The following is a 13,792-nucleotide window of genomic DNA, read 5'->3' as shown; positions in this document are numbered from 1 at the left end:
GAGAATCTATTTGTTGCTTTGCTTTTTCTCTATTTTGTCTCTTTACTTCATTAATTTCTGCTTATTATTTCCTTCTACCTTCATTGGGTTTAATTTGCTGTTTTTTAAAACATGTCTCATGATGAGATGTCACTGACTTGGTAACTTTTCATATTTTCTAATATTTTAAGTCAGCATTCACAATATTTCTATTAAATTTCTAATTAAAGTTTTAAAACAAGTTTATGGATACAAACTACTTTGTAAGTACCATTTCATCTGCATTCTGCTTTTTTTTTTTAACAGAACTGATTTCCTATGACAAAAGTATAGTGCCTATTCATTTTTTTAAAAGTAAAGGTAAAAAGAAGAAAACAAAAAATTTCAAATAGAATTCTACCCAGTCTTTAACACCCCATTTTAATAGCAAAGGCTTCACACTGCATCTACTTATACATAAATATGCATATATATGTTTATACATGTTAATGTATTATGAACATCTATGTCAATAAATATATGTCTATAACATCATTTAATGGCAATATAATATTCTACTCTAGTTACCACAATTTATGTAACCATTCTGTTGGGAATTTAGGTTGCTTCTAATTTCTCCCTATTATAAATAGCTGTGATAAACCCTTGTCATTAAAACTTGACCAGTATTCCTAATTATTTCCCTTGGAAGGAAATAATTGAGCCGAAGGACATATACATGTTTAAGGTTTTTGTCACACATTATAAAATTGCCCTTCAGAAAGTTGTATTGGTGTATTGTTCTATCAATAGTAGATTACCTACTTTAAGCAAGGTTTCTCCAGTGCCAAGTTGTGTATGTAACATGGATCACCAGCTTCTTAACCTGTAAGATTGGACCTATGCCCCTCCTCCTTTCAGCCATTTTTCTATATTTGTGGGTCTATTAATGGCAAAACCCTGATCTTGAAATGTAACGTACCAATCCTGTACAAGTTTTGATAGTACTCTTTTCATTATCATTGTTAGGAATATGTTCTGCTGGGCATGGTGGCTCATGCCTGTAATCCCAGCATTTTGGGAGGCCGAGGCAGAGGGGATCACTTGAGGCCAGGAACTCAAGACCAGTCTGGCCAACACAGAAAAACCCTATCTCTACTAAAAATACAGAAATTAGCTGGACGTGAGGTGTGCGCCTGTAATCCCAGCTACTCGGGAGGCTGACGCAGAAGAATAACTTGACCCTGGGAGGTGGATGCTGCAGTGAGCCAAGATCATGCCATTGCACTCCAGCCTGGGCAACAGAGCAAGACCCTGTCTTGGAAAAAAAAAAAAAGTTCTAATTTTCATTATGATGATTTCTTATTTGATTAATTGGCTATTTAGCATGATTTCTCAATTTCCAAGCATTTAGGGTTTTCTAGTTATTTTGTTAATTTATTTCTAACATAACTACTTTGTGGTTAGGAAACATACTCTGAGTACTCGTTTCTTGCAGAAGTTTTTAGACTGAGCTTTTATCTCCATAGTAAGCATTGAGGTTTTTGGGGTGTTTTTTTTTTGTGTTTTTTTTTTTGGTGGGTGGGGATGGGGTCTTGCTCTGTTGCCCAGGCTGGAGTGCACTGACAGAGTCATGGCTCACTGCAACCTCAATCTCCTGGGCTCAAGCGATCCTCCCACCTCAGCCTCTTGAGTAGCTGGGACCACAGGTGTGTACCACCACACCCAGCTAATTTTTTTTTATTTTTTGTAGAGACAGCATCTCACTCTTTTGCCCAGGCTGGTCTTGAACTTTTGTGCTCAAGCAATCTGCCTGCCTCAGCCTCCCAAAGTGCTGGGATTACAGGCCTGAGCCACCACCATGCCCAACCAGCATTGAGGTTTTTCTGTGCTACCAACATGACATACCAGAATTTATTCTGTACCCCATTTTTCATAGTGCAGCTCTATGGTCCCAGCCAGGAGCAAAGGGTGTTTCATCAGAGCCTTAACCTCTTAGATCACCCTGGTGCAAAAGCAACTGGACCCTGTCATTCTCCATCTGACCACCCCACCCCCTCCTACCTCTCTAGAGTTCCTAAAAGTACCCCTCCTTTCCAAAACCCACATTCTTCCCCTAGGGCAGAAGCAGCTCTTGTTCACCTCTTTGAGTTGTAATCCTTTCTCTGTTCTCAGGACTAGTTTTTCACTCACTATACTGTTAATTCTCACAAGCTTTAACAAAAACTTTTTGTTTGACTGGGCACAATGGCTCATACCTGTAATCCCAGCACTTTAAGATGAGAGGCCCAAGCAAAAGGATCGTTTGAGCCCGGGAATTCCAGACCAGCCTGGGCAACATAGCCAGATCCTGTCCCTACAAAAATTAAAAATAAAAAAATTAGCCAGGTGTGGTGGTGCATGCCTGTAGTCACAGCTACTTCAGAGGCTGAGGCGGGAGGATCACCTGAGCCCAGGCATTCCAGGCTGCAGTGAGCCATGATTGTGCCCCTGCAGTCCAGCTCTAGGTGACAAAACGAGACCCTGTCTCCATTTAAAAAATAAATAAATAATTTTAAACATTTCATACAGTTTTTGTAGTTGGCGTTTTTGTCATCCTCAGAAAAAATGCTGGTTGGAAAAATCCAGATTTGCTCTGTACAACAGTGTTCTTCAAGGATATTTGCAGATAAGTACCAATCTGTCACCAGTCTGCCATGAGATACATACAGAAATTGACAGTAAACATTTAGAAACTGTTACAGCAATTTGACATTGCTGTGAAATCATAGCACGTGATTTTGTGCCTTCAACTCCAGATAATCCTGTTGCCAAAGCAGCATATTTTGGAGTGGCATATTCTGATCTCCCTCAATGTGCAGCCAGTAATACCTTGTGCCTCAAGACCTGTGATCTGTTTTGTTTATTTGATGAGTTTGGTTTTGGATAATTTCTTAATTATATAAATAATGCATGTTTATTATAAATTTTAAAAATTCAGATGGATGAAAAGGAGAGACAGCTAAGCTCATTCATAATCCCATTACTTTTCACAATTCAGACTAAACTGCCCTTAATTTCTCTCTGCATACAGTATAGAAGTCCACCTCCCCCATACTCTTCCATAGGAGGGTTTCTTCTCCCTCTCCTTTCATTCCCTCAGAATGGAGCCAACTAGGAAAATTCACAATGTGTTCTTTGGGGGTTCTTGACAGCCCCAGAAGCACCCCAAGATGGGAAGCCAAAGAGAAGAGCAATAAAAGATGCCTTGTCAGTTTGTAGAATCATTATATTATCAAATAAAGTTTATCAAAGAATTGAGTCATCAACTTTGTTCAAAAGGTTCAAGGTTAGGATATCAGGATGGTATGTATTATGAATATGTGTATTTTAAATTTCGTTGAATAAAATTTGCATAAATAACAGTATTTTTAGTTTTTATTTCTATATCTCATGAAATTTAAAATTAGTAGATTGCTTCTTTTACTTTAATATCAATTAATATTATAAATAATCAAATAGCTTTAATAATAGAAAAATATTTTCACAGTGATGCCTCTCTTTCAGAGTAACCCTTCAAAGAATGTGCCTGTATATTTACTAAGTTGCACAGGTGGTTTTGTTTGATATCTGTGGTTATGAAGCATTGAATTAAAAAAAAACATATAATGGCTGAAAGATCCCATTTACAATAGCAACTAAAATATAACATGTACAGGGAAAAAGCCTAATAATAAATACTTTAAACCAATATAAAGAAAATCGTAAAACTATAACTTAGAGACATGAAAGGAAGTGGAGAGACATATCATGTTCATTGATGAGAATATTAGAAAATGTTAATTTCTAGAAGTTAACCTATACATTTACCATCTGAATCAAAATACAAAGATTTTTTATAGTTTGACAAAATGATTTTAAAAGTCAACTGGGAAGAAAAAAATCATAAGAAAATGTTGGTGAAGGCCAGTTGTGGTGGCTTGTGCCTGTAATCCCAGCACTTTGGGAGGCCGAGGTGAGCAGATCACTTGAGGTCAGGAGTTCGAGACCAGCCTGGCCAAGACGGTGAAATCCTGTCTCTACAAAAAAATACAAAAATTAGCTGGGCATGGTGGCAAGCACGTGTAGTCCCAGCTACTTGAGAGGCTGAGGCAGGAGACTCACTTGAACCTGGGAAGCAGAGGTTGCAGTGAGCTGAGATGGCGCCACTGCACTCCAGCCTGGGTGACAGAGCAAGACTCTGTCTAAAAAAAAAAAAAAAAAAAAAAAAAAAATTGGTGAAGAATAATGAGATTTTTTTTTGCCAAATATTAAAAGCTGCTACTACAGTATTTTATTTTGTCTGTCCATGTTTTTGTTTTTGTTTTGAGATGGAGTCTCGCTCTGTCAACTGGAGTGCAGTGGTGCAATCTCAGCTCACTGCAACCTCTGCTTCCCGGGTTCAGGTGATTCTCCTGCCTCAGCCTTCAGAGTAGCTAGGACTACAGGCGCAGGCCACCATGCCTGGCTAATTTTTTTGTATTTTTTTAGTAGAGACAGGGTTTCACCATGTTGGCCAGGCTGGTCGCGAACTCCTGGCCTCAAGCTATCCGCCCGCCTCGGCCTCCCAAAGCGCTGAGATTACAGGTGTGAGCCACTGTGTCCGGCCCTACAGTATTTTAAATGGTAACTTGATGCAAGAATAGGCAAGTCAGTGGAAGAAAGTAGAAACCTAAAAATACCCCCATGTGTGTATGCACATGTGTAGAGATTGTCATTTCAAGTACCAGTATTTCAGATATGACCAGACAAAATGGATTGATCCTTGCTGATAATTATAGCACAGGGCAGTAAATAATTTCCAAGTATTTCTCACGGACTGGTTCCCTCCTTAGTCTTTATACTTCTCACCACTTTGCTGCCTCCTCCCCAGGCTCCGTCTTTTCCCTCATCCCTTCTGGGTCCCTCCAGAAAGTCCTCTAGCTCTCAGAACATCTCCCAAATTCTTTTTGGAAACACCAGAGTCCATTGAGGCATTTTATTTGTAAGTATATATTACATCCCTAGAAAAAGAATTCCAGGATTTTCCCTCCTATATGTTTTCATCTTGCTTCTTCATGGTCCATAATGCCAGCTGAGGTCGTTAGTACAGTGAATCCAAACTGGTGGGATAGGAACAGGTTATTCTGCCATTTTACTAGATCTTTGGGTTGCACATCAAATCTGGGATCTGGGGCTGATCACTCCACACTTGTTTAACCTACCTCAGGTTCACAACAATTTTCCCAGCTCTATGATCATCAGTGATTTCAAATTCACCAATGTAACCATGCTTCATCATCACAGTTAGAAACTGGACAGTAACTTTGGAGCACAACCTAATAAGAACCTGGTGTTTGCCTCTTTTTGGTATTGTTGATGCTCTGGATAGCATCAGCCAGGACATTCATGCACACCATTATGGCAGCATGGAGAGATGGCAGAAAGAGCCTAAATTCTTATTGCTTCATTATGCAATCAGTTTAGCTCTCTCCTTTTCCTAACCCCTCTCTCATCTAAGTTGAATCGTGCTTACCCTCATATATCACAATTACAAAGGAAAACGCCTAAGCAAAACTGATTCCTTCGCTATGAGATGTTTTTTAGTCCTCATAGATCAACTAACCAGCTTAAACTACAGCCAGTTTTTAAAATAGCGTTTCTTTTCTCCCCACAGGACAAAGAAATGAAAAATATTTACTCTCTGTAGTAATCAAGGAAATGCAAATTAAAGCAATCATGAATGACTTTTTTCCTCTTATCTAATTGGCAAAGATGGAAAAAAAATAATCATTATCCTAGTAGAGCAAGGGACACATTCACACATGGTAGTGGGAGTATAAATTGTTAAACTGTTTCTGGTCTTGTGTATGTATCAAAAGTGTTATTGTAGGCCGGGCGCAGTGGCTCATGCCTGTAATCCCAGCACTTTGGGAGGCCAAGGCGGGCGGATCACGAGGTCAGGAGATCGAGACTATCCTGGCTAACACGGTGAAACCCCGTCTCTACTAAAACAAATACAAAAAATTAGCCGGGCGTGGTGGCGGGCGCCTGTAGTGCCAGCTACTTGGGAGGCTGGGGCAGGAGAATGGCATGAACCCAGGAGGCGGAGCTCGCAGTGAGCCGAGATGCACCACTGCACTCCAGCCTGGGCGACAGAGCAAGACTCCGTCTCAAAAAAAAAATGCTATTGTATATACCCCTTGTCCTAGCAACTCAGCTTGTAGGAATTTTACCATACAGATAATCAGAGTTGCTCACCAAGATGCATGATCACGTTCATCCAGGCTTTATTTCTGATGGTGGAAAATGAGTGCTGCCATACTAGGGAGTAGACTAGACCATTATAATAATGTTTATAGTAGACTAGGCAACTATAAACATTATTTTGGAGAAGAATCCTATTTGACATTGGAAAATGTTCCTTAGGTGTGAAATGGAAACTTGGTAAAGTTTTTAGAGCCTGTATAAATGTGAAAGTATTTTCATTCATTTATATAAAACCACACCGAGAATCAAATAATAGAATCAACTGTTCATTAGGTGTCTACAGTGTGTCTTCTGCTGAGTATTAGGTAGGGGTACATTGAAAGTATAAATATATTTTTTCTTGTTCTTTAGGACTTTACACTATCATGGAACTGTTGTAGGGCTTAAAGATGTGCATTTGTTCCTTGCACACCCAGTAGGTATAGCTATAATCAATGGGAAGAGCACAGGACATAGCTAGACAGAGATTTCGATCTTGTCCCTATCACATACTTGTCCACTCACTTAGACAAATTATTTGAAAATGATGCTGACCTCATGGGGTGGTTATAAGTATGAAGGGAGGCATAACAAGGACTGCTTCCTATGATGCCTCATGAATAGGAAGTATGTTAGTTCCTTTACTTTCCCTTCCAGAAGTTTCTATTTCCTCAGTATAATATCTGCAGCAGGTATATTGGGAAACTGAACTACTGAATGAATGAATGAATGAATGAGATACTGGATTTAAAAATATGTTATAAGCCTTAAAGCATTATGAAAATGTTAGCTGTTAATATTTGCATAGTTTCATTAATATGTATAATATGGCAAAATTCATGTATACATATATAGGTGTATGTGGGGGGAGGGGGAGGTGTTTGTATGTGCTAAATGTTATGGACCATATAGAGTTGTTATAGAATGAAAAGCAAAGGAAGGCATTAATATGGCTGGTAATCATTGAGGGGGCTTCCAGGGAAGGTAGGATTGGAATGAAACCTTGAATTAAGGTAGGTTTTGAAAATGAAAAGCAATATATACAAAAGTAAAAAAGAAAATGGTGTACTCAGGGAGTGATAATAAGACCATTCTGCCTAGAGAGGAAGATTTTCTTGAAACATCAGTGGACAAGGTAGGTAGAAGAGGCAAGGTGTGGCCAAGACAACAAGAGGCCTTACTTATCTAGTAAGAAATAGAAAACTACTGTAAGTTCTAAGACAATATCGTGACATTGCGTTACCAACACATCTATGTGTTACAATATGTTTGTAGCGATGAACTTTGGGAATGGCAGTGTAAACAAAAATAAATTTTATTTTATATATGTCATTGTTTTTTCCTTCCACAGTATATAGCCTGAATTTTCCATTTAGTGGTAATAACAATAGCAAGATTGTTTTTTAAATCCTTGTATTCTACATAACTGAATATTTTTGGAATTTGACTTAAAAATATGCACACAACCCTAGCATTGCTGTTTTCTGATGCTTCTTTTTGTGAAAACCTAAAGAAAAATTATAGTCAATTTTATATACTCAATGTTATTTGATATTACTGTTAGCCTACTCTTCCTGTTTCTTTCCCTGCAGATTTTCAATGTGAAGATGACTGTCATGCCCTTTATAATTTATGTCTATATTTCATTGAAAGAAAGGAGATTTAAATAACATAACCCTTAGCAGTAAATCAACTAATAACTTAGTTACAATGTATTCACTTTCAGTGTTGTCTTCCTGGAATTTCCTCTTTTCTTATGTTCTTTTTCACATTTTTTTACAGTATGGATGGAGCAGATCTGTGTTTTGAAATCGTAAAGCGAGCTGACGCTGGTTTTGTGTACAGTGAAGCTGTAGCCAGGTATGTATTGTATATCTAATCACCAGAGGTCAAGTTGAAAATAAAAAAAGAAAATGACAAAGACATCACATGACAAACTGATAAAGAGCATGCTGCTGCTCTTTGCTACAGGGAACATCTCTGTTTTAGTATGTGTTAGTAGAACCGATAGTCACTGGAAATGCAAAATACCGAACAATGAGTTTATCTATTAACATGGGTTTATAGGGGCCAGGCACGGTGGCTCACGCCTGTAATCCCAGCACTGTGGGAGGCCAAGGTAGACAGATCACAAGGTCAGGAGATCGAGATCATCCTGGCCAACATGGTGAAACTCCTTCTCTACTAAAAATACAAAAATTAGCTGGGCGTGGTGGCATGCACCTGTAGTCCCAGCTACTCGGAAGGCTGACGCAGGAGAATCGTTTGAACCCAGGAGGTGGAGGTTGCAGTGAGCCGAGATTGCGCTATTGCACTCCAGCTTGGGCAACAAGAGCGAAACTCAGTCTCAAAATAAATAAATAAATAAAATGAAAACGTGGGTTTATAATACAGGCTTACATTTTCAGTACTGCTGTCTTTCCCATTTCTGATGATTTTTGTACAGGAAGCGGGGATCTAATAGCTCAGGAACCATGTAGAATTCTACTTGGGTTTTTTTATTTTTGTTTTGGCAAATCTGCCTCATTAGTTCTTCATTTTGCCTTTTAGTGATATCAAATTATCTCACAATAATTAAGGAAAAGTAAAGAACAGTAAAAGGAAGAGAAATAAAAGCACCATTTTTAAAAATATATTTGCTTCAGGCCAGTGTGAGACCTACCAATCAAATGGCAGCTGTTGTTCTAAGTGGAGAAGTTGTTTGTAAAGACCTAATGACTCAAAATAAGAAGGAAATATGGGCCGGGCGCGGTGGCTCATGCCTGTAATCCCAGCACTTTGGGAGGCCGAGGCGGGTAGATCACGAGGTCAGGAGATGGAGACCATCCTGGCTAACACAGTGAAACCCCGTCTCTACTAAAAATACAAAAATTAGCCGGGCGTGGTGGCGGGAGCCTGTAGTCCCAGCTACTCGGGAGGCTGAGGCAGGAGAATGGCATGAACCCGGGAGGCGGAGCTTGCATTGAGCAGAGATCGTGCCATTGCACTCCAGCCTGGGCGACAGAGCGAGACTCCGTCTCAAAAAAAAAAAAAAAAGAAGTAAATATGAAAAATCACAGGAGCCATGCACGTGCTGGGCCACTTGCTTATACATTTAGAGCAACACAGCTTTCTGTTTTGGTTACATTCAATCATAATTACCCACTCCTGTAGGTTGCCTTTTTAATACATGGAATACAGCATCCCTCCTTAGTCACCAGCCATAGTATGTTGAAGGGTTCAAACTCACAAACATATTAAGTTTTTTTTTTTTTGCGGGGGGTGCGGGCGGCGGGGGACGGAGTCTCACTGTGTCATCCAGGCTGGAGTGCAGTGGCACTATCTCAGCTTTCTGCAACCTCTGCCTCCCAGGTTCAAGTGATTCTCCTGCCTCAGCCTCCCAAGTAGCTGGGATTACAGGATGCGCCACCATGCCCGGCTAATTTTTGTATTTCTTTTAATAGAGATGGGGTTTCACCATGTTGGCCAGGCTGATCTTGAACTCCTGACCTCAAGTGATCCGCACGCCTCAACCTCCCAAAGTGCTTGGATTGTAGGCATGAACTACCTACTGTTCCTAGCCTAGGATTTATGAAAACTTTTTATCATTTGAAAAACAGTTATATTAAATGATTTCCTCTGTCTTACCATTTCTTTTACAATTATAGCATCTTAGACAAACATAGCTGGAAACAACTTGGAGACCACCTTAATACAGCTTTGAGCTCAGCATGACTTGAATGTCTTCAAATTCATTGCCCTGACTCCTTCTGGCTGAAGAGCAAGGGACCTAGTCTCAGGGATGGAGCAGCCATGGCTATGGCACAAAATAAAGAATATGCTCAATGTGTGGTCGCTGTGTTTTTGTACTGCTGGGGCTAGGGCGAAGGAGCAAATGAAAGTTTATGTGTGTTCTTTAGGCTTCTGATCTATACGCGGTAGAACTAAAGCTAAATATTCTCTTTTCTTTTGTGCAATGTTCTCTAAAGCACATTCCAGGGTTTTTTTAAATCCCATCTTCTATTATTTTGAGTTTTTATTACAATTTTAAATTTTTATTCTTTCTTGTCCCTCAAAATTTTAAAGCATTCTTTCATACCAAAAATAGTCAATACTAGTGAAACTCAATGGAAGAAGGGGATTTTTCCCTTCTTGAACCACAATAACACGGGGATACCTGGCAGGTATGCTGACAGGATTGATGTGAAACCAGTACCACTTTTACTCTGGTCCCCAGTCATCTTTATTGCTTTTCCTTAACTTCAAGCCTATCTCTGCCACTGGGCTACATGTCAGGATAAGCAGGATGGTAGTGTGAAGAGATGATGTCATACAATGACATGACTTGTGGTCTCTCCTAATCTTGAGATTTATAGAAAAGGTAGATGTTTATACACATCAAAATGAAAGCCTATTGATTTTTAAAGCCACCTGTATAAGCTGTTAAAATGGTGAAAGGAACTTTCCAGAGTGGACCAGAAAAGAGTAGCATTGGGACCAGTAGATGACATTGCAAAGAGAGAGGTTTGGAGGCAGTTTATTAAAGGTTCTTCCTCTGAACAATAAAAAAAAGTAGGCGGGGACTCAGAAAGTATTATTATGTGTGTTTGCTATTGCAGAGGATCAATGACCATGCAACAAGGGCGCGTAGATTCTTCCATTGGTTTAATGACAGATGACTTCTAATCTTTCTTCGTCCTCTCTGATTCTGTGATTTATTGTTAGGAAATTCAGCTTGTATCAGTATTCTAGTGAGACCGACTGCAAGAAGACTCTGAGACACCAAGTAATCAAATTGATAATGTTGTTTTTCTCCAACTGGCTGAGCTTCAAGAGGAGCAGCAAAGCATGGCATAAAATAAAACTGTGTTCAGTCCTTAGTGCAACCCAATTAGTTATTACCTCCATCCTTTCAGGGGTGATGAGTTGTGGAGTGAGCTAACACACAAGATCAGATTATCAAATCAAACTCTCAGAGATCTTCTTAACTAGTACCAAGCTTTACTAAATAATCTCAAGGATACAGGCAGTCAGAAGGCTCAAGTGAAGCAGAGAAGGGAAGGGCAGCCCCCCACGTCACTTCTTACTGCCTCAGAAATGCACCTCTGGCCCAGAATAGATGAGGTTTATACTGGGGTTTGTGGGTTTCCACACACAAAGGGGAGCATTGCAAATATCTTCATTTTACACCCCAGAGATTTGGATAGCTCCATTGACATTCTCCAGGAAGCCATCTGTGCCTCAGAGATCCCGTGTTCTACTTACCATAGTAATCCTTAGCCAGAGATATCCTATTAAGGGCATTTCAGAGATAAGGTCTCTTCTGCCTAGCAAATAGCATTAGGCTTTTCACCTGCATTGACAAGAATAGCAGACTGAATCACCTCTCTTCTACCATGCTGCACCCCTGAAATGCCTCCTTCCAAAGGCAGTAAATGCATTGCTGGCCAGCTTTTTCCTTCCATGGAGTTATTATCTTGCTGATCCTTAGGAAAGATAAAGATAAACAAATATATTGCTGAGTTTCTCTGAAAGCACAGGTCTCTATGATGCTTCATGAAGTGAAGTTTTTTGATTAAAAGTTTAGTCAGCAACTTCCTAGAACATGTGGGCAGATTTTAGTTCTTGTTTTATTCTGCTTGCACACTTTGACATGCATTGCCTCGCAGGATCATGACTGGGAGGGTGGAGAAAGATAGTTCAGTTCTGTTATAACTTGGGAAGAAAAACAGTTCCACTGTCTCCACACACGCCGCAAAGATTCTGCTGTGTACATACGTTTGGGTCAAGTAATTGAGTGTTCTCATATGCAAATGAAAAAAGCCTCATTCATTGAGTTTGGTTTTGTGTTATGAGACTTTGAGATAGGAATTTTCTTTAGGTTAAAGATAATTTAGGTGGCTGTCTCAGTGCTTTGTATCCAAAATAGTTCATTCTGTGGGTACAAGCTATGTCCACTTTAACTAATTTAAATTTACCCAGTATTTCCATGTTGACATCTAGATGGACAAATAAGCTGTTCCTAAATCTTTGATTGAACTTAACAATAATAATATTGTACTAATAATGTCTTAACCTTTGTAGCATGGTTTAGAGTTTACAAAGCACTTTGACAGGTGTAGTCTCTTAGCCATTTCAAGGGGTTACAGATCTTCCAAAGCCTGATTTGAACCAGTAATGGGCCACAACACCAAGTTAACCCCTCATTTGAACAAAACTTATGGCCAGGCGTGGTGGCTCATGCCTGTAATCCCAGCACTTTGGGAGGCTGAGGCAGGCTGATCACTTGAGGTCAGGAGTTTGAGACCATCCTGGCCAACATGGTGAAACCCTGTCTCTACTCAAAATACAAAAACTAGCCAGGCGTGGTGGCGCATATCTGTAATCCCAGCTACTTGGGAGGCTGAGGCGGGAAAATCGCTTGAACCCAGGAGGCAGAGGTTGCAGTGAGCCGAGATCCCACCATTGCACTCCAGCCTGGGAGACAAGAGGGAAACTCCATCTCAAAAAATAAAAATAAAAAATAAACAAAACTTAATTACAGGCTACAATGGCCCAAGCAAAGAGTATATGAGCACAACCCCTTATATGTGCATTTGCAAAGTAAGATAAATTAAAACATCAGAGCTAATGATTACATGAGCCTAGCTCTCTGGCTTAAAGCCCCGTTGTAAGGAGCCTGTGATTAGTACAGGAACAAGGCTTGTGATTAGTACAGGAACAAGGCTTGGGTTTGTTTTTGTTTTTGTTTTTTCTCCTACCTTTCATTTTTAAAATGGAACCTTTCCAATTAATTGTAATACATGAAATAATGCATATGCTAACTAGAGAAATATTCCTGTGAGCTTGATTAAATGGTATCATGCCAAAGAGGGAACTTGATGGAAATGTCTTTTAATTGTAAAGCCAGGATAGGGATTTTTTTTTTTTTTTTAGTCCTGAGTCACATACACATGTTCAAGGTCACTTGTATCAGAAATATAAGATCTGGAAACAAAACAAAATTCTATAAATATTATACAGTGAACAGTGTTAAGTCTATTGCATTTCTGTCATGCTGGTTGGGAAGGAAAAGGGAAAAAATGAGAAAAGAAGGGGAATAGGAAGAAAAGAGACAAATATGGAGGGAATAAAATACAGAAAATGAAACAGATACTCAGAGAAAGAGTAATAGGGCAATTATAGAAGAACTTTAGAAATAGGAGAAGGAGGTTCTAAAGTGGTACTGAATCAACTGCTCTTGTCACACATGGTTGCTAGTTAACCCCATTACCATTTTTTAATTCCTGTTCTTTAAAATGCTGATTTCTTCTTTGTTCTTCACCTGTGCTCCATGAGGGCTCCTCAGCTGGCCATGTAAGGAGTCAGGCTTTCTAGGACATGTGCCTAGAATTAACTCCACTTTGTTCAAGGGAGCCCCAACTAAAACTTGATTATGTTACAAAAAGAAATTGTCCGATAAGGGTGGCTCTTCCCTCATTTGTCCTCACAGCTAAATAGAAGTAAGATGAAGAGCATCTTATTATTTGCTGGCAGATCAAAGGCTCCCACTGCTTGAGTCTGAATCCTTGGGGCAGCCCTGAGCACTGTTTACATAACGCAGTCCAGT

At 39.6% G+C, this 13,792-nt stretch overlaps 1 protein-coding gene and 1 pseudogene across 11 annotated transcripts in view; one reads left to right on the top strand and one right to left on the bottom strand.

Moving 5' to 3' along the window:
• The window catches only part of CASK (calcium/calmodulin dependent serine protein kinase), a 408,621-nt gene that overhangs the window by 169,967 nt on the left and 224,862 nt on the right, over positions 1–13,792 (top strand). For all 11 annotated transcript variants that reach the window (NM_001126055.3, NM_001410745.1, NM_001126054.3 and 8 more), the window contains exon 4: positions 7,987–8,064. In NM_001126055.3, coding sequence (NP_001119527.1) covers positions 7,987–8,064 — 78 coding nt within the window. The remainder of the gene's footprint in view (positions 1–7,986; positions 8,065–13,792) is intronic.
• RPS15AP39 (ribosomal protein S15a pseudogene 39) lies at positions 4,927–5,405 on the bottom strand (annotated as a pseudogene).

Source organism: Homo sapiens, chromosome X, assembly GCF_000001405.40.
Source record: "Homo sapiens chromosome X, GRCh38.p14 Primary Assembly".
In the NCBI taxonomy this organism is placed as follows: Eukaryota; Metazoa; Chordata; class Mammalia; order Primates; family Hominidae; genus Homo; species Homo sapiens.
Note: the sequence above shows the minus strand (reverse complement) of the source record. Positions and strands in the feature narration are given on the sequence as shown.